At 42.7% G+C, this 22,110-nt stretch overlaps 1 protein-coding gene and 1 long non-coding RNA gene across 7 annotated transcripts in view, besides 4 other annotated features; one reads left to right on the top strand and one right to left on the bottom strand.

Moving 5' to 3' along the window:
- The window catches only part of ZKSCAN7-AS1 (ZKSCAN7 ZNF cluster antisense RNA 1), a 128,297-nt gene that overhangs the window by 15,060 nt on the left and 91,127 nt on the right, over positions 1-22,110 (top strand). The window contains exon 2 of the long non-coding RNA NR_157564.1: positions 9,208-9,332. This is a non-coding gene — a long non-coding RNA (ZKSCAN7 ZNF cluster antisense RNA 1). The remainder of the gene's footprint in view (positions 1-9,207; positions 9,333-22,110) is intronic.
- ZNF35 (zinc finger protein 35) overlaps positions 9,803-22,110 on the bottom strand; it is a 14,286-nt gene continuing 1,978 nt past the window's right edge. Inside the window, exons 1-4 of one of the 6 annotated variants that reach the window (NM_003420.4) lie at positions 21,760-21,862; positions 19,335-19,653; positions 17,893-18,037; positions 9,803-11,893 (exon numbers count right to left, since the gene is read on the bottom strand). In NM_003420.4, coding sequence (NP_003411.3) covers positions 10,647-11,893; positions 17,893-18,037; positions 19,335-19,526 — 1,584 coding nt within the window. In that variant the 5' untranslated portion in view covers positions 19,527-19,653; positions 21,760-21,862 and the 3' untranslated portion in view covers positions 9,803-10,646. Of the gene's footprint in view, positions 11,894-17,892; positions 18,038-19,334; positions 19,654-21,759; positions 21,863-22,110 lie in introns of those variants that run through there. The other 5 variants (XM_047448866.1, XM_047448867.1, XM_047448868.1 and 2 more) reach the window with 5 other exon arrangements.
- Positions 21,380-21,489: an enhancer, noted in NCBI's record as "active region_19768". NCBI's record gives its function as "activates an Ori minimal core promoter by ATAC-STARR-seq in GM12878 lymphoblastoid cells {active_cell/tissue: GM12878}" and the evidence as "EXISTENCE:reporter gene assay evidence [ECO:0000049][PMID:35858748]".
- Positions 21,570-21,739: an enhancer, noted in NCBI's record as "active region_19767". NCBI's record gives its function as "activates an Ori minimal core promoter by ATAC-STARR-seq in GM12878 lymphoblastoid cells {active_cell/tissue: GM12878}" and the evidence as "EXISTENCE:reporter gene assay evidence [ECO:0000049][PMID:35858748]".
- Positions 21,570-22,110: part of a biological region, named in NCBI's record as "NANOG-H3K27ac-H3K4me1 hESC enhancer GRCh37_chr3:44689909-44690468", that runs on past the window's edge.
- Positions 21,618-22,110: part of an enhancer, noted in NCBI's record as "NANOG-H3K27ac-H3K4me1 hESC enhancer chr3:44689909-44690468 (GRCh37/hg19 assembly coordinates)", that runs on past the window's edge. NCBI's record gives its function as "activates a minimal SCP1, AML or CMV promoter by ChIP-STARR-seq in naive H9 embryonic stem cells {active_cell/tissue: H9 hESC(naive)}" and the evidence as "EXISTENCE:reporter gene assay evidence [ECO:0000049][PMID:30033119]".

The raw sequence follows: 22,110 nt of genomic DNA, 5'->3' as shown, positions 1-22,110 counted from the left end.
CTCTATTCTAAACAGATTCTCCCCCTTGGGACCTGAGTGGTGACTTCATGTCTCGCCTTCCTCAGACAAGGCCTCTGCTTATCATCCGCTAAGCATCCACCACAGAACAAGGCTCTGGAAGCACGGCCGAGGCCCATGTGTAAGGCAGTCAGGGGCAGGCACCCCACGCTGCACTATGAAAGTAAAATGTTTTCCAATCAGGTAAGGCTTGGTTTTCTTTTATCCATGTCTATCCTGTCCTCCAGAAGGCCACAGCAGGCCTGTGCAACCAGGCAGCCTTTCAATCATTACAAAGCCATTTCCTACCCCTCATTTCACCCCAGCCTCACAATGGCAAGAGAGGACTTACGTTAGAGAGCTTAGGGATCTGTCCTGGGTTGGGAGGTGAGGAACAGGGCCAGCCTAGAATGCCCTCTTCCCCACCTGCCCTCAGGAGTATGGTCTGGTTTCTGCCCTGCCCACCTAAGGCCAGAGAAAGCAGTGGGCAGCACGAGGGTCCCAGGGTCCTGGAGGAAGCCACCCTTTTCCTCCCTGGCTCTTCCCTGAACTGGGCTCCTCCTCCAGGCCACCACATCTGATCCTGACTCCTACCCTTGCTGCCCACCTGCACATCGCTGCTCTTCTCCTTGCACATTCCCGATTCTTCCCCCATCCCCATAGCTGCAGCCTCCTCCTTCGCCTCCCACATCTCAAGCTCCAGCCCTTCCTTCTCTTTCCTTCCCCCAACACACCACCCACCCCAGATTTGGGCCTGTCCCTAGCCTCCAGGCCCCCACCAGCCCCAACCCCACCCCATGCGAGGGTACAGCCCCTTCTGTTCTCCCTTTCTCGGACTGCCCATTCCTCCCTCAGCTTGCTCCACTCTTCGCTGGGCTCCCCGGACACCCTGCTTTTGACTGGCTCAGTGAGTCCGGCGAGGGCAGAAGGCCCTGGTGCAAGCTTCTTGCCCGGCTGCTCTAGGAAGTTGGGAGCTGTCTTCGTCTATGTGTTTTTCCTGCTTGGTTCCTCCACCTGGATGCCAGAGGAAAAGGGGCGGGAGACAGGGCCAAGACCTGACTCAGTCCTTATCCACAAAGAATTTCAAAGGGACCGATCTCAAAGGACTAGAAATCATGGGAGAACATATCATCTTGAAGAGGGGAAGTCCTTGATTTGATATTAAATTTTAAATATCCAAACAGCAAAATTAAGTACGACAAACAAACCTGGGAAAATATTTGCAACACATATAGCAGATAAGGATAATTTCTTTATAGTTTGTACAAATTGATTATTAAAAGGATGAACAGAAAAACTGCTAAAGAACGCAAATAAGCCAGTCACAGAAAATAAATACAAATGACTTTTAAACATGGGCTGTGGTACCCAGTTTCACTCATAGTTGAATGCAAATTAAAATATGAGAGCATTTTTCATTTATGAGATCAGAAACAACACAATAGTTTCAGAGGATTCAGGGGAATGAACATTTTCATACACACACTGGGAACTACATTTCCAATTTCTATCAAAATAACAAATGCACCTACGATTTAATTTCATCAATTTATCCAGGGACAGTGTGCGGGGATATTTGGCACAGTACTGTTTGTAATAGCAAAAGGCAGAAAAGAACCTAGAGGCCCATCAACAGGGGGACTGTATGAATTATGGTACATTCATACAATGGATATCACAAAGCAGTGAAAAAAATGAGGTAGATCTTACAGGCTAATAGAAAGCCATCTCCAAGACACTGAAAAAAGCAAGGTGTAGACTGTATCCTAAGCTTTTCATTTTTTGTGCGTGTTTCTTTAAGGGGGATACATAAGGTTGTAAATGCTGGGACTATCTTGAGGAAAAATCAAGACATTTAAAAATAGCTACCACTGGGGTAGGAGACTGGTTATGTGGACTGGGAGGGAGTCTCACATCTCTTTGTATGCTTTTGCACCACTGACCTTTTTACTACAGGCAAGAACTGCTCTTTCAATTTAACAAAGAACTCTTACATGGGGAGAGGAGTCCTTGGGGGTGCACTGAGAAGTTCACCTGGGAGAAAGGGGCACAGACTTGTACATCAGAGTTGTTCTAATCCTGACTGGGACTACTGGCTTTGCAAATGGCATAAGAGAACTTCCCTCCTCAGGTGAAGATTAAATGAGATGTAACACATTTGGCATTTAGTATGGTGCCTGGCACACAGGAACCCCTCAACTAACAGTAGTGATGATTACAACCTTGCTATTGGTTCAGTAGGGTGACTTGCCTTGAGGGAACCCCAGTCCTTGGAGGGAAAATACCAGAGATCACAGGAATCCTGGAAAACCACACATGGTACAAGTAGGGAACCTAGTCAGTGTCAAGGTAGCCTACGATAGCCAGGTAGCCTGCTATGAGTTGGGTTGTCTCCTCCCTTGTCTCCAGCCCTTCCCAACATCAGAGAGGCATTAGCCACTGTGAAGACAGGGTAGCTCCAGAGAGCTGCAAGGAAAGCAGTGCCTCTCGGACCTGGGCCTGGCCTCATTTGTCATGTCGTAGGTCTCACCAGGATGTAGAGGCCCAGACTTCTGGCTTGGGAATTTGCTGCTTGATCTTCCGTGTCCCTTAAGGTCTGCTCATTTTATCTTCAAAACATCACATCTATTCCTTCTCCTCTGGCCCCCTTCTAGTGGCTGGGTCAGAATCCCACTGTCTCTCTTGGGCTCTGAAAAAAACTGCCAATATGGTCTTCAGGATTCCTTTCTCCCCTCACCAGCTCAGCCTCCACTGTCCAGCCAGAACAATGTCACAAATATATATTCTTCTGCTGAACTCCTTCACCTGGTATTAGGTTCTTGGTAACCATAAAATGCTAACAATGGATAAAAATAGGGACCTTACTTCTCCAGACCCTTATTCTATTATTCCCCACTACCCATTTCACACTTCACAAGAAAGTCTCACCACTCTGAACAAGCCATGATCTTTCTCTTTTATTAACCTTCCCCTCCTGATCATAAAAGTAATACAGGCTCATTGTAGAAAATGTAGACTGCTGGAAATTTAACCACAGTTAACCCCCAATTTCTTTCTTTCCTATGCATGTGCATCTCAGAAAACTCAGCTCTCTGTACAGTGTTTTATTTTGTACTTTGCATCATTTATTTAATATTACTGTGTGCTATTATCATATCACTATTCTTTTAATTATGACCTTTAGTGGTTGCACAATATTCCATAGTATTATAACTTATTTAATCATTCCCCTATTGTTACTTAGGTTAGTCACTTTTTTGTGAAATGAGTAACATCGACAAGTATATAAATCATTGTACAAATATTCATTCTTAAGACAGCTTTCTAAAAGTGGTACTGCTGTATCAAAGGATATCAACATTCTTTTAAAAATGGTTTAACTTCCCCTAAAATAACAATGAGTAAAAATGGTTAAAATGTGTAACGATGAGGCTGGGCGTGGTGACTCACGCTTGTAATCCCAGCGCTTTGGGAGGCCAAGGTGGGCGGATCACCTGAGGTCAGGAGTTGGAGACCAGCCTGGCCAACATGGTGAAATCCCATCTCTACTAAAAAATACAAAAAACAATTAGCTGGGAGTGGTGGCATGCGCCTGTAATCCCAGCTACTCAGGAGGCTGAGGCAGGAGAACTGCTTGAAACCGGGAGGTGGAGGGTGCAGTGAGCCAAGATTGCCCCATTGCACTCCAGCCTGGGCAACAAGAGCAAAACTCCATCTCAAAAAAAAAAAAACTATAACAATGAGATAAAAGGAACAAATTTCTAGAAGATGGAAAATGAATGATGTGGTAACTAAGACAGCTGGGTGGAGGGAGTAACAGCTTGGAACTCTTGCTGAGGGCTATCCAATGGAAGGAGGTAGCTGATCTACCCTGCCCAACCCCGGAGACTTGGAATTTTGAAACCCCAGGTACAATGAAGGCTGGGAGGCAGAAGTGGATCTAAAAATAAGGGCATTAAATGGAAGTCTGTAATAACACTTGGCTTCCTTCCCTCCACTTCTAGAAAAGCACTTAACAGCATCTAAACCCCAGACAAAAATATCAGAGGATTTTTGCTAATTAAATGTAAGAGCCCAAGGCAAAATATTCTGTATTCTGGCATTTAGGGTTCTCCAGGGAAACAGTGGGCAAATCTCACTCCTACACACAGAGGTCTCAATTAGGCTTTTAATTCACAGACACACTCACGTGCACACGCACACGTATATGGGTGTAAGAATCACATTTGAGGAAAGTCTAATGAGAGTAAACAAGGTAAACAGAGGGAAAAAAGGACCCAGTGGCAGGGGCATGAAGGGAATGAGATAATTCATGTGACAGAAGATACTTTTAAGAAAAGGCTCTCAGAAATTAAACTAGTTATTGTTAAAATTATTACTGTTAAAAATATTATTCATTAGAAAATAATCAAGGTACTCTTCTCATAGTGGCACAATACAAAGAAATGGAAATAATGAATGCAGCTAAGGATCAATCCACAAGGTCCAACATTTGATTAGCAGGAACAGGAACTCTATAAAGAGAAAAAACATGGAAAGGGGGAATAGTCATATAAATAATGAGAAAATTTCCAAGAGTAGGAGTACCTGAGTCTGTAGATTGAAAAATTCCACTGAGCATTAGGGAACTGAATACATCAAAGATAAAGAAGAGACTTTAAAAGCTTCCAGGCATAGGGGTGGGAAAACAGATCACTGTAATGTAAATACTATTTACTGATTGTCAAATAAATAAGTATCAGATTGGAATCAGGCATCTCATTAGCAGCAGTGGATGCTGTAAGTCAGTGAAGCAGTGGCTACAAACTTCTAGGGAAATTTTTCAACCTAGAATTCCAGAGCCAGCCAAACTACCATCAAGTGAGAGGTCAGAGAAAGACACAGACACTCAACAACTCTGCCTTCCATGTACTCTTTCCTGACAGGAGACTTGACATGTACTATAATAAAATGATGAAGTAAATAAAGAAAAAGGAAGACACAGAATTCAGAAACAGTTGAGTCCAGTGTAACAACAGAATATAGGCAGAAAGGTCATCAAAAACAGACTAGAGCAGGAGGCTGAAAGCAGAATATACAGAGAGAAAAGAAGTGAATTCAACAGAGTATTTAATTGAATGGAGAATTTGAAAATGACTGTGAGTGTGTGGAAAGCAACCAGTACAAGGTAAAAAGAAAGGCAACTAGAAACTTCCGTAAAAACAAAAAGCTGATCCCAAAAGGAAATATAAACACAGTAAGCTAAGATCTGCAATCAACAATATTCAGATGGTTGTAATAATGTTCATGCTGTTTATTTTCAGCTTTTGAAATCAATCAATAACCAAACATAAAATCCTAACTGGTTACAGAATAGAATTTAAGAATTATCAGACTTGACAATGTAAGAGCCAACGACGTGGAAAAGGGAAAGGGAAAGGAAGGGAAGGGTCCCTCCAACATACCACAAAATGGAGAATTGAGATATGGTTTATAGTTAATATAATAAACTAGATATGTAAATATAATAATTATTTTTATAAAATTCTTGCTCCTTATAGAAATATAGAAATTGCTAAAACAAACAAACAAAACCCCTCTTAGTAAACCATAATCCTATTATCCAGAGTATATGGGTTTGAATGTAAGCCTGGAATTAACCGTCAGTATGGCTGTAAGTCATTTAACCACTTATAATATTTTCTTTTTTCCTTCAGGTAATTTATCTATATACTTTTAAATAGTATATAGTATATATAAAAGCAACAGTATATGAGAACTGTATTATATACACAATTTTTAATCCAGACTTTTTCACTTTAAAGCAAAAAGGTAAATCTCTGGACACATAGCATATCATGCACTTGTATATGCGTATTAATAAATATACTTCTGAATATGCCTTTAACCATAACGCAGTCAGGGGTTTCCCAGAGATGGAACTTGAACCAAATATAAAAAGAAACTAAGCTTGCAAAAGTAGAAGGGGACTGAGTGGGAAGTAGTGATGAGGTATTATAGGCACTGAGAAAAGTGTGAGCAAAGGCACAGAGAAGAGCAAGCACGTGCCTCTAGGCTGCAGTAAAAGGTGCCTGAGAGTGAAGAGATGAGGCTGGAAAGAGATTATGAAGAGCTCAGTAAATCATGTTAGGGATCCTGATATTTTTCCCATAACAGACATGACAACAGGGATAGTGGACCAGGTTTGCTTTGGCAGTCCAGAATCTAGCATGACGTTCACCACAAGGGAACACAAAATGTTTTTGTAATGAATGATGCTTAGGAAGGCAGAAATAGCTTCTGGACATTCAATCTGCGTGCCCCAGGTGGTGGGGATAATGTCATTTGATAAGGGAAGGAATCTAAGAGAAAAACAAATTTTAAAGGTTTAAAGAATGTCTGGGCAACATTCTTAGTGATTCTGTAACCTAACCTCATTTAAAAAAAAAAAAGTCACTGGTGATTATGTAATACACCCCAGATTCAACTTTAGGCTCTAAATGTATGTATTGTCTTCAGGAAGCCTGCATAACCTCCAAGTAAGCACAAGATTTAATCTGCAACGTACACTTCTTAGGGGAAGAGGATCCATAATCTTCCCAGGATTCCCAAAGGGGCTGCAACCCCAGAAAGGTTGCAGTGCCTACAATGGATGAGCAAGTGGAGAGGTGACAGACGTGGGAGAGGGACAACTACCTGAGACAGGGAGGGGATACAGAGCAGGTGAACAATTAGCTTTGTCCAAAGACACCTCTTCCTAAGCCTGGTGGAATTTATGGCTGTGTTTGAGTGTGTAACTTCGTGTTAGGGATTGAAGTCTTTCTCCTGTGCTCCCAGAGTACTGTACGTGATTTCGCCATCAGTTTTGCATCACTGTGCTCCACTTAATACATATCTGTTGGTCTCATTTGAGGATGAGGACAGATTTCCTGGCCCTACTCTTAATGCCAATCACTAGGCCTGCAACAGAGCTCTTAGCCTGACAGCTAAAAGTCTGATAGCTCTCAGCAACTTGGGAAAATGGGGCTTCAGAGTTCCCAACCACTCCTAGCAAGACTACCCAAAAAAGATGGGAGATGAGCCCAAAGAATAGGAAACTAAGCAAACTGACAAAAGGTGGTCACTCCTCCCTTATAAAACATAAAGAAAATGGCAGGCTGCAATTTATTTTGAGGACTGGAATCAGAAGGCAGAGTTATTAGCTGGGGAAGGATCTGATCTGTCTAGTAATCAATCCACTTGGCTCATATGATTTGTGCAGAATCAGAGGCCCTGAACCTGGATGCAGATTTGTGGAAACTGAGATCTGAAGAGGAAATCCAAGTAGAAATGTAAAAAGTCATAATACATACCAAAAGCATGTTATGTAAAACTTGGTTTGCTCATATAAATGTTTGGTATATTCACTTAAATACAAATAAAATAAGCTAGGTGGCAGAATCCTCTAACATCCAATGGTTGGCAGAGGCACTGATGGACACCTAGTTCAGCTAGTGTAAAGTAAGTCTCCTGTTCTGCTAAAAATACATAGAATGCTTTGCACGTACAGATCCTTATACTGGAGCACCCCCACCCCCTCCACCTTTGATCACACACATTCTTGGCCTGCAGCCTTTACTTTTTGCTACAGTGGCTCATAACCTTTGCTTGTCATTGTAATCCCCTCCAGAGTTTTAAAAAATACAGAGGTCTAGAAATGGAAATTTTAAAAAAGTGCCCAATGTGATTCTAACATGAAGCCAAGGTTTAAAACCACTGCTTTACTGCAAGGTTGGGTCAGTGAATCTCAAACCTAGTTTTGCATCATAATCCCCTGCGTAGCTTTTCTGAACTACCTATGAGTGAAAATCACAATCATCCATAACTGAATATTATGAGGATAAACATATGTGATGGTAGAATGGTTTAACTGTCTTAATGGTCATAAATCCCAGCAGGTATTCTTTAAGCAAAGTAGTTTCTGTCTCTTGGTGGGTCAAGGTCACAGAGTTTTCTCAAATCTTCAGACCTGCTCTCCTGATATTCTCAGCTTCCTGATAAGGCAGGGGGAAAAAACTAACTTGTTCCTACTCTCAGCAGAGACAGGGGGTGGTTTATTTGGGTCTCTCCATTCCATCAGGGAGACTGGAACAGTCACTGTTAGGATTGGTGAGGGCATGAGTATTTGATCCTACTTTTGAATCCTTTTGATTTCTTGTATTTGTGTCTCTATGATTTAGAGTGAAACTGGGAAAGTAAGTTGCATATGTTTTGGAAAAAAAACTAGAGGAGGGAGGAAAAAGGAAATTAATAAGCTTTCTTGTGTATGCCTTCTGTATGTGAAAGTGCACTGTAGGCCAGGCATGGTGGCTCGTGCCTGTATTCCTGACACTCTGGGAAGCCGAGGCAGGTGGATCACCTGAGGTCAGGAGTTTGAGACCAGCCTGGCCAACATAGTGCAACCTCGTCTCTACTAAAAATACAAAAAAGGCTGGGCGCAGTGGCTTACTCCTGTAATCCCAGCACTTTGGGAGGCCAAGGCAGGTGGATCACGAGGTCAGGAGTTCAAGAGCAGCCTGACCAACCCCACTGCTACTAAAAATACAAAAATCAGCTGGGGGTGGTGGCGTGCACCTGTAATTTCAGCTACTCAGGAGGTCGAGGCAGGAGAATCACTTGAACCCGGGAGGCGGAGGTTGCAGTGAGCCAAGATCGTGCCACTGCACTCCAGCCTGGGCAACACAGCAAGGCTCTGTCTCAAAAAAAAAAAAAAAAAAAAATTGGCCAGGCGTGGTGGCATGCACCTGTAGTCCCAGCTACTCGGGAGACTGAGGTAAGAGAATTACTTGAACCTGGGAGGCAGAGGTTGCAGTGAGCCAAGATTGTGCCACTGCACTCCAGCCTAAGACTCCATCTCAAAAACAAAACAAAACTAACACACAAAAGAAGTGCTCTGTAAACTAGAAAACACTATGTGATTAATATTTAGTCTTGCAGAAATGTGATAATAAATGCATGGGACTTCTGCATGAGAGCTGCATCAGGCTCAGCATTTATGATAAATGCTCTTGCATGCCCTGAGGCATTGGAACAGCATGGAGGGACAGAGCCAGAAATCAGGAGACCCAAATTCTAGTCTTAGGTTTGCTGATTTCTGGTCACAGTGCCTAAGGCACACTCCAAACATCTGTCACATCAGCTTCCTCACCTGAAAAATGGGACTACACACCCCTTTCTTTGTCTCCCCTACAGGTCTGCATGGGGATTACAGGTGTTTGGCAAGTGGCATGGCAGAACAGAGAATCTAGATTCAGGACCTGGACTTGGATATAAGCTGTCACTTGTTACTTGGCCTTGCACTAAATGACCATTCTCAGGTAAATGGGCAACCACCTGTTTCAGTGTTGTAAGGACTGAGGTAGGTGATCTATGTGAAAGCGTGAGATACGTGCCAGGTATCATGATCAATACATAAGGGTACACAACAAAGAATAAAAGTTCTATATAAATACAAGGCAATATTATTACATAACTCTACCTATTGCATAGTTTTATAAATCATTTTTCCAGGAGTAAAGGCTGAATGGTAACAAAGATATCTTACCTTGGCCAGTTTCTTCATCCTTCTAAAAGTTTTTCATATTCCAATACCTCTGAATTTCTCAAAAAATCAAATTAAGACCTTAGGAATCTTATTTCCACCTCCCCTCTCCCATCACTTTCCCTCTTTGGTCTTCTCAGAATGAGAAGAGCTCCACTATTTCTTCTAAACACCATCCAGAATGTGAGAATGAAACCCAAACTGAGACCCCTGGCTGGACTTGAGCAGAATGACAGCAGAGACAACTGGGGCATGCCTCTAGGCAAGCTTTATTCTTTGACTCCTTCATCCAGGAAGGGGCTGTTAGTTGCATCTCACCCAAATGGAATGCGATGGGAATTGGGGGCTTGAGTTGTTTGGAGAAGGAGCTGTTGATCTTGGCAAATGAATATAGCTGGTGTGTGGTGTCCATCAATCCTTGAGTGCTTGGCCATGGAGACTAGGGAATGGTCAGAACAGACCCAGAGGTCCCCAGATCTTTACAATACCAAGGTTCAGGAGGTATAGACAGTAAGGAAAAAGTCCATTTCCTATTTCTGTCCATTTTCAGTAAAGTTTTTGTTTTGACTGGCTTTTAAAAAATTACCTAGGAAATGGAAAGCTTATAAACATTCGTAAGTGAATTGTTGAACTGCTACCCCAAGTGGTTTCCTTACCCAGTCACCACTTAACCAGAAATATTAGAATACACGGTTCAACCAGAATTCAACCAGGCAGATAACCTGCCTGTTGCTCAAGCAATCATCAGAGTTTTAAAAAACAAAATTAAGCAAAAAAGACCTTTCCCCAAATAGCATCATTACCACTTAGCTTTGTACGACCCATTCCTAGGAAAGCCACATTCCACTTCAGAGAACATGACCGCTTAAGGTACAGTTAAAACAAAGTCCTTGCCTTTAGGTGCTTACTTTTTGTTTTAAATTAGCCTCTGAAATGCTTTTCTTGTGTCTTCTGCTGCATTCCTGAAAACTATAACTTTTAAGGACACAGCCCTCACTTTTATAGAGGAGGAAGAAAACAGCAAAGAGGTGTCTCATTAGGGAGGCAGAAGGTTATGACCAATGCTGGAGGTCTTCCTCTTCCTTACTTGTTATTCAACAAGATGGGTTCTATGGTGTCGCATGAGGTGTGAGTTGGAAATGAAAGCTGCACCACACTTCTCACATTCATAGGGCTTCTCCCCAGTGTGGGTTCTCTGGTGCACGGTGAGGCTCGACCTCTGTCTGAAGGCCTTCCCACACTCATTACATGTGTAAGGTTTTTCTCCATTATGAATTCTCTGATGAATAAGTAGGTATGAGCTACATGTGAAGGCCTTCCCACATTCATTACACACGTAAGGAAGATCTCCACTGTGAATTCTCTGGTGGACAATAAGGCAAGAGAGCTGACTGAAGGCTTTCCCACATTCGCTGCAGTCGTAAGGTTTCTCTGCAGTGTGAATTCTCTGGTGCACAATAAGGTGTGAAAAACAACTAAAGGCTTTCCCACACTCTTTACACTCATATGGCTTCTCACCAGTATGGCTTCGCTGATGTACAATAAGATTTGCACTCTGGGTAAAGGCTTTGCCACAGTCGTTACAGGCAAAGGGCTTCTCCCCAGTGTGGATCCTCTGGTGGACAATGAGGTTTGAGCTCCTAGTAAATGTTTTCCCACATTCATTACATTCATAGCATTTTTCCGTAATGTGGACTTTCTGGTGCCGAGCAAGTTGTGAGCTGTAACTAAAGGCTTTCTCACATTCATTGCACTTAAAAGTTTTTTCTAAGGAGTGGATTTTTTGATGTACAGTCAGATTTGAACTCTGAGTGAAGGCTTTCCCACATTTTGAGCAAACATAAGGTTTCTGTCCAGTGTGGATTCTCTGATGCACAACGAGGTTTGCACTCTGAATGAAGGCCTTCCCACACTCATGACATTCAAAGGGTTTCTCTCCAGTGTGGATTCGCTGATGCACAACGAGGTTTGCACTCTGACTAAATCCTTTCCCACACACGCTACACGTAAAAGGCTTTTGTCCAAGCTGGGTTTTTGGATTTTTAACAGCGCCAGAATTAAGGCTATATTTTCCTCCAGATTTCTTACATTTCTGGTTTTCCTCTTCTTTGAAGCTTTCAGGTAAGTGACAGTCATTCACTATCACTTGTCTGAAATCTTTCTTTTCTCTCTTTATTCTCTGCCTCTTTAACATGTTTCCCTTTTCACAAGCTTCTCCTAACTCAGGTCCTTGAGGATCAGCTTTCTGGATTCTTTCTGATATGATGAGGGGTTTTTCAGCTTCCTCACATATCTCAGTTTTTGGAACCAGTAACTGTAGGTTCTTGGTTTCAGCACCTGAACCAAGAAACAGAAAATACAAATGTTAGCTTTCTCTGGCCTAGAAAAAGAATAGGATCATCAAGTCATAAAACGAAGTATGTGATTTCAGCACCTCCACAAAATGGCTTCATCAAAGAAGAGAATCCCATCACATGTTACCTCTCCTCTCTAGGTTCTTCAGCTGGGGCTTTGCCCTCCCCTCTACCTATGGCAGAACCCACTGACTCGTGGTCTTTCCAGCACTTCCACTTGCCTCCATTAGACACTTAACCCCGCTGCCCGCTGCCTCATGCCAGGGAGGGCCAATCTCCAGACAGTGCTCCTGCTGGCTGTATGATGACTGCCCTTGCAACAAAGACCAGTTATGAAGGACACAAGCCTCTCCCTAGGCTTGCCTTCTTACCTTAGCTACTTAGTGTGGATTTGCTTGCAACCCACCAGTTAATTAGGGTGATTTGCTACCTGTAAACAAAGATCTAGCAACTGAGGTTTCTGTGTCTGAGGATGCTGGATATCAAAGAAAGGATAAGCACGGACAGAAAGGGTAACACTGGCTGCCAAGACAGCCACAGCAGCCAAAACCATATGAAACACTGCGAGGTCCTGCAGCATACAGGTTAAGAACATGGATTCTAGAGCTAGACTGCCTGGTTTCAAATCTCTGCTCTGACACTAACTAGCTCCATGACTTTGGGCTACTTAACTCCTGTGTGCCTCAGTTTCCCAATCTCTAAAACAGGGATACTAATAGTATCTACCTCATAAGGCCATGAGTAGATTAATGGAGTTACTCTATGTCAACTACTCAGATATTGCCTGGAATACAGTCAGTGCTCTGAATGTGTGCAGCAACTTTCAGGCTGACTGATGATGTTGTGAGGGGCCAGAAGGAAAGATGAACCCTTAGGGGAGGGGAGCTGCTATGGTGATAGACAGCTACACTAGGAGAATAAAAAAAGAAACTGTACATGGCAAACTCTTACCCTTGTGTCAGGGGAACAGCTTAGCATTGTGTCAAGGAAAGCTGACCTTGTTGAGTTATGGCATAGCCTGCTCCACAATGCCAGAAAATATCATGAGAACTTCAAAACACCCTGAAGCTTTATGACACTGATTAGTCTCTGGATGCTTTACATTGCTTCAGAACCTAATGGTGTCAAAAAGGGGTCCTGCTATCAGTAACATCATAGTTCTTTATGTTTGTCTCCTCTGCACACTCACTTTCCTTAACCTTGAAATGTGCACCCATGTAATCCAGTTTTGGCACAGTGAACCCTTAAGAAGTGTTTGTCAATTAAACCAAGCTCAAGAAATAAGGCAAGTGAAATAAAGGGTAACAGGAATGGGTGGCAAGCCTGTAGAGGAGGGAGGTATTCCCACTGGTGATGTCAGCTCAGAAATAAGCAGTGGTGCTGTGAGCTTCAGGTTATAACTGCTGCTACTGCGCAGGGGAGAGACTAGCACCCATGAGAGGGAAATATTCTATAGGATGACCATCCAACCAATGATATGAGTGGGTGGGACAAGGATGTTGGGGTGGTACAAAGCAATATTGGGGGCAGGAAAACAGCCTGGTTTGATTGCCTGGTTAAGACTATGGTAATCTGAAATTCTATCACAATCATTCAGACAAGATGAGCAGTGTCAGAGGAAAGAAATGCCCAAGTGCTGGATACAGTAGAGCCCCAGATATGACAAACAATAAATATCTGAAATGCTGGCCAGGCACAGTGGCTGATGCCTGTAACCCCAGCACTTCGGGAGGCTGAGGCAGGCAGATCACCTGAGGTCAGGAGTTTGAGAACGGCCTGGCCAACATGGTGAAACCCCGTCTCTACTAAAAATACAAAATTAGCCAGGTGTGGTGGTGCATGCCTGTAGTCCCAGCTACTTGGGAGGCTGAGACAGGATAATCACTTGAACTTGGGAGGTGGAGGCTGTACTGAGCTGAGACTGCACCACTGCACTTGCACTCCAGCCTGGGCCAGACAAAGCAAGACTCTATCTCAAAGAAAAAAAAAAAAAAAAGCCGGGTGCAGTGGCTCATGTAATCCCACCACTTTGGGAGGCTGAAACGGGTGGATCACCTGAGGTCAGGAGTTCGAGACCAGCCTGGCCAACATGGTGAAACCCCGTCTCTAGGAAAAATACAAAAAAAATAGGTGGGTGTTGTGGCAGGCACCTGTAATCCCAACTGCTCTGGAGGCTGAGGCGTAAGAATCAATTGAACCCAGGAGGCAGAGGTTGCAGTTAGCCGAAATCGTGCCACTGCACTCCAGCCTGGGCAGCAGAGCGAAACTCATCTCAAAAAAAAAAAAAAAATCTGAAATGCTAAACTTTTTCTGGTTATTTCTATTCCTACTGTTCTGCTAGCTCCCTCTTTTTAAAAATGTTCTGTTTTTCTCTCTGTAGTTCACTTGCTTTTATATCTTTTCTTCTGCTGCTGCTTATTTTTTCCTGCTATCTCGACCCCCTACTGACTCTTCATCTCTCTCCTCTCCTGTTTTTTAATTTTTTGTGTGAAATATTTTGAATTTTTCCATATACAGTTTCATGCCTCTTCTGTTTTTCTTTTGCTGACTGCTTGCTTCTCTTTGTGTTCTCTACTGTTACTTTATCACCTACATCCCACTTTATTCTCCTCCCATCCAACGTCTCCTCCCTTGATTCTTTTCACCTCCTCTTTTGCTTTAACTCCCCATCACTGACACGTGGGCCTCCCATACCCCAGCTGGGCATCTCTCCAACAGAAACAGAGCCCATGAAAACTTTAGTTCATAGCTGCACTGTCTCCCTGACTTTCACTCCTACCCTCCTTACTGGGAGATTTAGAATGTTGGGCATGAAGATCAATGGGAACTACTAAACTGATTAGAGCCAATAACGGAAACAATTCCTTCTATCTGAATAATGTCTCATGTCAAAACCATTACAAAACCAGGTGCAACTGTAGCCTAGAAGGTTTTCATGCAAGTGATTCATCACTGAGTAAAGTAAGACCTGGGGTCTTGGCAAGTGCCTAAGAAAAGAGAATTAGGGTCCATCTGGTATAGTCAAGTTCAAATTTCTTTGGGTAAAAAGATTAATCAGCAAATAATCCGGGCGTATAACCTTGGCTTATTTGAAATGGTATTTTTCCTTTTTTTAAAAAACATGTAGGATTACTGTAGCTCTAGAGAAATTAAATTAAGTACAGAAATAATGAAAAACTAAAACAAAAACTAATTTGTGACCAACTAGAACACAGGCATAGCCATAGTTTTTAAATCAATACTCTTCTTTCACTCTTTTTTTTTTTTTAAAGATAGCTGAAATGCTACATAAGCCTGCCACCTTAGCTGGTGACTGTATTCTGAGATAAGAAGGGTAATTTGATTTACTAAATTTATAAGTCCAATTCATTAGATTTATAACAGCTGTGTTTATCAAGATTTTATTTACAAGATTTGTAAGTCTGCCCAGTTAGGTGTTTGGAATGTTTTAAAGAACTAAAGATATCAAATTTGTAATTATGTTTTATATAAAGAAATTTGATAAGCAGGTAGAATTAAATGTTTAAAATTTTTAATTAATTTATTTTTTTAGACAGAGTCTTGCTCTATTGCCCAGGCTGGAGTGCAGTGGTGCAATCTTGGCTCACTGCAACCTCTGTCTCCCGGGTTCAAGCGATTCTCCTGCTTCAGCTTCCCAAGTAGCTGGGACTATAGGCACGCACCACCATGCCTGGCTAATTTTTGAATTTTTAGTAGAGACAGGGTTTCACCATGTTGGCCAGGCTGGTCTCGAACTCCTGATATCAGGTGATTCACCCGCCTCCGCCTCCCAAAGTGCTAGGATTACAGGCTTGAGCCACTGCGCCCGGCCAAAATGTTTAAAAAATTTAATCTGTAAAATTTGAAGCTTAACTGAACATAAGTTAAAGAAAAAATACAAATGTTCTCACTTTTATACAAATATTTCTAGATGTATGGATGAAGTAAAAAGTTATGCTTAATGGCTTAAAAATTGGTTTTTAAATGAATAAACTTTAATAAATTCAACATTAATTAAAATATGAAAACTACAGTTAAAACTTGCTCAGACATTAAAAACCCAGTAACACATCACAATTTCCAAAGCACTTTCATGTATATTATACAATTTCATCATGAAGATGAAACTGTTCTCCTTCAGCTAAAAAAAGAGCAAGGTTGTGTCTTATTCATTTCTGTATCTCCAGCACCTATCACGCTGCCTGACACATAGGAAGGAGGCCGCCAACAAATCCTGTACTTAATGAACACACCCAATTTGTAGAACAGGAAATGGAGGTCCAGAGAGAGAAGGGACTTACTCAAGGTCACAGAGTTATTACAGGCAGGGCAGCAACCCCACTCAGATATCTCTCACACATAGAGCTCAGTGTTCCCACCATCGCCTGCTGACATCGCCATGGAAATAGTGTTGGCAGTGTTCCTGCCATCGCCATGGAAATAGCTGGCAGCACAAAATACTAAGTCTTGGGTATGAACATGGTCTTGAGGTAAGAGGCAAAGTAGGAAAAGGGAGCCCATTCCTGATGAGGTGCAGCTGTTGGGGTTAAGACTATGAATGGCTGATAAAGCTCAGAGACAGAAAATAAGTGACATGCACGCGAATGCACCAGAGAGAATGGAACACAAAGCAGAAAGTGGGGAACAGAAGCTGCTAAGAGTTTGGGAATAATTAAATATGAGACAAGAAAATCTAGGTGGAGATCCTTGTCTTCCCCATAGCACTGGTTTAAGAAAGTGACTTGGTCCCCAGATGCCTGAGGAACTGGTTAGGGAGGAGAGTGGGTTCAAAATATTCAATATCTGGCAGACTCATAAAAAGAATAGGGCTTGGCAATCAGCCAGTAAGTGCTTTGAAACACAGGACTCATGGCTACTGCATTCTTGACCCTCACTTATATGTCACTCCTCCACAGGCAAGCTTCTGCCACTGCCAGTGAGATCTTTAGAACATACTACCCTTTCTCTAGTCCTAGCTTAGAGAGAACAAGTTGATAAGCCATCAGTACCCTTCACGAAGACCTAGTTTTGAACATCATTATGGTTAACACAGCTGCTCAAAATCCTCTATAATTTGCACAAAGATCTATGAAAACAGAACATCTCCAGGGCATTTGCTCAAAATCACCACAAAAGTTGACTGTTCCTACCTCGGCTAGCATCTCTTGCAGGCTCACCAACCTATGCTAACTACAAAGCGTATAAAAAGGACATGTGCCTACATGTGTGCACAGAGATGAAACTCATTGAACAATAAATATCACTAAAAAGTGAGTTTGGAATTCACCTATTGTATGGTAAATACACCTGATGGCAACAACTTAAGCATACCCTGAGAATGATCCTGTATGGCAGACACACCTGAATATAGTTTGGAGTTCCAAGCAAAGGAATCCAGAAGTGGCCAACCTGGAGATCCATTCCTTATCCATTCCCCACCCCTTTCAGTGGAATGCGGGCCTTAAAGGGGATTGAGGCCCCTTGTTTTGGGTTAAATTAAGGCTGCCAGGTGGAGGTCATTAGGGAGAGGGTGTTAAGTGAAAATGCGACATAAACCGCATGCCTTTTGCAAGCAGTTGCAGCTCTCCTGTCCAGCCTGTGCCACTGGGCCATGTGGTTCTCCCGTGCCCAGTCCACTGCCTCTAGACTGTCTACCCTGTACATAAACACCTAGTAAAATTCTATGTTGTTTGCTGGCTCTGGGTCTCTTCTTCAGCCTCTTGAACCTGGTACCATATTGGTGTTGATCAGGTTTCAGCACAACACCTATGTTTGTCTAGTGTCTTGAGCCTGTGTGCAAAATAAGCCACTTCCCATGACAAATGCACAGGCATTTCAGCATTCCTCTTTCCAGCTTTCCTGGACACTTTCAATACCTCAGTACTCTGTTGGTCAACCTAGGAGACTGGATGCCCACCAGTCTCTGAAAAGATTTTGAGAAACCCCAATGGTCAGATTCAGAATCAGGGAACTGAACCATACCTAGAAAGTTCATGGTCCCATGAGTCTCCAGTATCTCACTCTTGGCCAGAGTCCCTGGTAATGAGTAGCTGCCAAGGGTTGAAGCAGCAGGTGCCTCCTGAGTTGCTTTCAGGACTACCGCCATATCCCAGGATATGTTCTGACCCTAGAGACAAGCAGGCACATGTTTAAGAGGGAACTGGTGGTAGGGGGTAGTGTGGTTACAATTTTGAGAATGAGAACATAATTATCTATTCCTGGAGGCCATAGAACAATTTTTAAAAACAGAAAAGGAAGCCAGAGTCTCCTCCAACCCCCAGGGTGAGTTGGGCAGAGAAACAAGCTAGCTACTTTCTTCCTTATTACTTTGATTGCACCTCACTGCTCACTCCAGAATCTAAACCTAGCTTACCAGTGAGTACATGATAAGAGGAGAGAGCATATGGGAAGAATTTTCAGAGTGAACTTTTGTGGGATCTAAAGATCAAAGCAGCAAGGTTTTGATGATATTATTACAGAAAGGCTCTGGGGGAACCTCTGCCCTCATTTGACTAGTAATGGTAAGGGGTGTGTTTGAAACATTAAGGACAGCACAGTGTACAGCCTCATGAATCAAAGTGTGGTGCAAAGATCAGCAGCAGTATCTGCATCACCTGGAAGCTTGCAAAACAAACAAACAAAGAACACAGAATCTCAGACCACCCCCAGACATCCTCAATCAGAATCTGAACTTTAACTGTTTTAACAAGAACCCCTAGGTGATTCCTATGCACATTAAAGTTTTAGAAGCTCTGGTTAGCATTGTCAAAACCTGACTGAAATTACCTGAAGAGTTTTAAAAAAACATGGATACCCAGGTCCCACCCTTAGATTCTTTTTTTTTTTTTTTTGAGGCAGGGTCTCACTCTATTGCCCAGGCTAGAGTGCAGTGGCATGAATTCGGCTCACTGCAACCTATGCCTCCAAGGCTCAATCAATCCTCCCACCTCAGCCTCCCAAGTAGCTGAGACTACAGGCACGTGCCACCATGCCAAGCTAATTTTTTGTATTTCGGCATTGCAAAACACGAGGTGTGCAATGTTGCTCAGGCTGGTCTTGAACTCCTGACCTCAAGTGATCCTCCCGCCTTGGCCTCCAAAGTGCTGGGATTACAGGTGTGAGCCACTGTGCCTGGACCACGGATTCTGATTTAATAGGAATAGAATACAGTATGGACATCAAGATTTTATAAAAAGCTCTCCAGGTTCTGTGTAGCAAAATTTGAGAACCACTGGTTTACAGAAAGTACTGAATGTCACATCAATCAGAAGGGAATGTTTCTATCCTATTACAAAAGACTGGAAGCTAGAATTGTACCCAAGAAATAAGACTCCAGGTGTGGAAGCAGAGGGGCAGAGTCCCCTCTTAAACTACTTGAGGTCTTCAAGTATCTCCTCCCCTCTTCCTCTCAGGCCCCCGTTTACCTTTTCTTCCTCTTCTGATCCATCAAGGCCTGTCTGAAGACCCTGCACTGGGGCCCAGACTTTGATGTTCTCGGAGTGCACTTGTTGGCTGGATGCCTGACCTGGGAAGTTTTCTTCTTCTTCCTCCTCCTTTTTCACCTTCACTGGGCCCCATGGGGCTAGGGCCATGGCTTCTCTCAATTCTGCAGTCATCTTCTCTGCTCAGCAGGGGAACTCCTATAGCTGGGCGCTGCCCTGCAGAGGTCAAACCCCATCCAAGCTTTATGTTTCAAAAGCTTCTTCTTGAGTTTCTTCCCAGGGCCAAGATGAGTACTGCCTACTGAGAAATCAGAAAACACTGTTAGCACCAAGGAGAGATTTGCTGGATGCCACTTAGCAAATTTGCCGGATGCCACACCGGCAAATTTCACCAGCGCCTGGCCAGGGGCCAATGTAGGACATGGAATCCTCTATTCCTCCCTCATAGGATGAAGGGGTTGGACTATAAATATGTAATATCTTCCCATAATAACCACATTGCAAACAGCTTTATATAATGTTTATTGATTTTTTCCTGATTAAAAGTTAACTTACTTTTATTGTAAAAACTTAAAAGCAGCAAATGATTAAGAAAAATCATCTCGGTCTACCTCCAAAGAGATAACCACTATACATTTTAAGATTTAAGATATTTCTTTCAAAGGAAAATCTCCAACCATACTACTAATAATTATGATTTTACAAATTCTTGTTTTTGACTTTGGGGATACATATTTTCACAATTATCATCATAGCATTTTTTAAAAAAGGATTTTACAACAAAAAGATTTTTTATTGCCAAGGATACAAAATAATGTGAACAAAAGGATCCCAAGAAAAAGACTGGGAGTCTTTATACCAACGTGTTAGCAGTGGGTAGTTAACTCTGGATGGTGTAATTACAGGTAGTTTTAAGGTTCTTTTCATTTTTTTTGTTTGATTTTTACATTTTCCATAGCTTCCAAATGTCCTGTGAGATAAAATATTACACTTAAGATTTAAAAAAAGATTACTTTCATGTTGCCATTCTTCATGCTTATTTTAAATGCTACACAATAACCTATGGTGTTGATAAATCTTCACTCTCATTGAAAAAGGATCAAGTAATACAGAAATATATAGAATTAAATATATAACCTACACACACTACACACACACACACACACACACACAAAGTACTTATCAGTTTAGATGGGAGTCCTAACCCATTTTCTCTGCATTTACATACTTATATGTTCACCTTCACACATATTGCTTATTTTTCAAAAACATACTTTAGATCATCACAGTTATATACTGTTCAGCAACCTGCATTGTTTTTTAACTCAATTTCCGTATTTCACAATAGTCTTAACAATCTTTCAATACAACACATATAGAACTACCTCATTCTGGCATAGTATTCTAAATTGTGGCTATATTATCATTTACTTAATCATATTCTATTTATGAACCATTTATTTAGTAAAAGTTTATATTTCCATTTTATTAATATTTAAAAGTTTTTCTTTGTAAATATTTTTTTTTTGCTGAATTATTCCTTTAGAATAATCAGAGAATTACTGGTTCAAGGATTTGCTGGTTGATATGTACTGTCAAATTGCTTTCCAAAAGCACCATGCCAATTCACACCCCCACTAATTGACAGTAACCCTTTATCACAGCTAAGCCAGCAGGGTTTTTGTTTTTAACCTGTGAGCAAAATAACCTTACTAGTTTGATTGCTTATGAAGAGATTGAAATTTTTCTTTCTAACCCCCTTTGAATGTTTTATTGGAAAAGGGTGCGAAATCTTATTCAATCCCCTGTTGCTGCTATTGAAGTGATCATACTCTTTTCCCCATGTCAACTTACTGGCCACTTACTGTATACACTGAATTTATTAAGTAATGCAATACTTTCATTCCTGTGACAAACCTTAATTCTGGAGGACTATTCTTTCCATCACTATCCGAATTCAATCTGGTATGAAGGTCCTTAAGACTAGTTCCACCTTGTGTATAAGACTGCCTACAGTGAGTACTCTCATCAGACTTCTGATCAGATTCTGACGGACCTCCGGTCCCAGACGGCACAGGGCCCTCTATCAAAGGCTCCCTTTCAACGTCCTTTCTCTATTTCCAAACGTGGCAATCCATTCTTTCCACGTATAGGCTCCTCGCGGCCCTGTCCCTGGGACCTATCTGGCCCCTTGGCCGGTCCGTGTGCATCCTCTCCCGGACCAGGCCCCAGGTGGGCAGCAGCCGGGATTCCGAGGCGGTGGGGAACTCACTGCCCCCCGCACCCCGACAGACAAGGCTGGTGTCCCCGGGGAAAGGACGCAGGGGCCGCTCCTAGGGCCATGGCCCCTGGGAGAGCCCCTTTTTCTCCCTCGACGTTCGTGCCCACCCCCTCCGACCCCACTCACTGTGCGCAGCTGAGAAGCCCGACCTGAGTTCACTGGCTCTGCAGCAGGAGGCTGGCTGACCGGTACTTCAGCTTCTACCGGCACGAGAACAATGACCGGACAGGAAGTGCCTCGGGATGGGCTTCCGGCTCCCCAAGTCGCCAAGCCGGCCTCTCTAGGAACCTCGGAGGTGCTTTCCTCTCGATGGGTGTCCAATGTCGCCCCAGACCAGGGATGGGGCAGAAGCGCTTAGGAGGATTGTGCTGTTGGAAGCTCTAAGTGAGCCTCAGGGAGGGGCGCATCCCAAGCAGGGATGAGACACTCAGGCGAGGCGCGCACCCAAGAGCCTGAAGCTACACAGCATTAATCTGT

Source organism: Homo sapiens, chromosome 3, assembly GCF_000001405.40.
Source record: "Homo sapiens chromosome 3, GRCh38.p14 Primary Assembly".
NCBI classification, from domain to species: domain Eukaryota; kingdom Metazoa; phylum Chordata; class Mammalia; order Primates; family Hominidae; genus Homo; species Homo sapiens.
The sequence above is the reverse complement of the archived record's forward strand: the minus strand, read 5'-3'. Positions and strand labels throughout refer to the sequence as shown.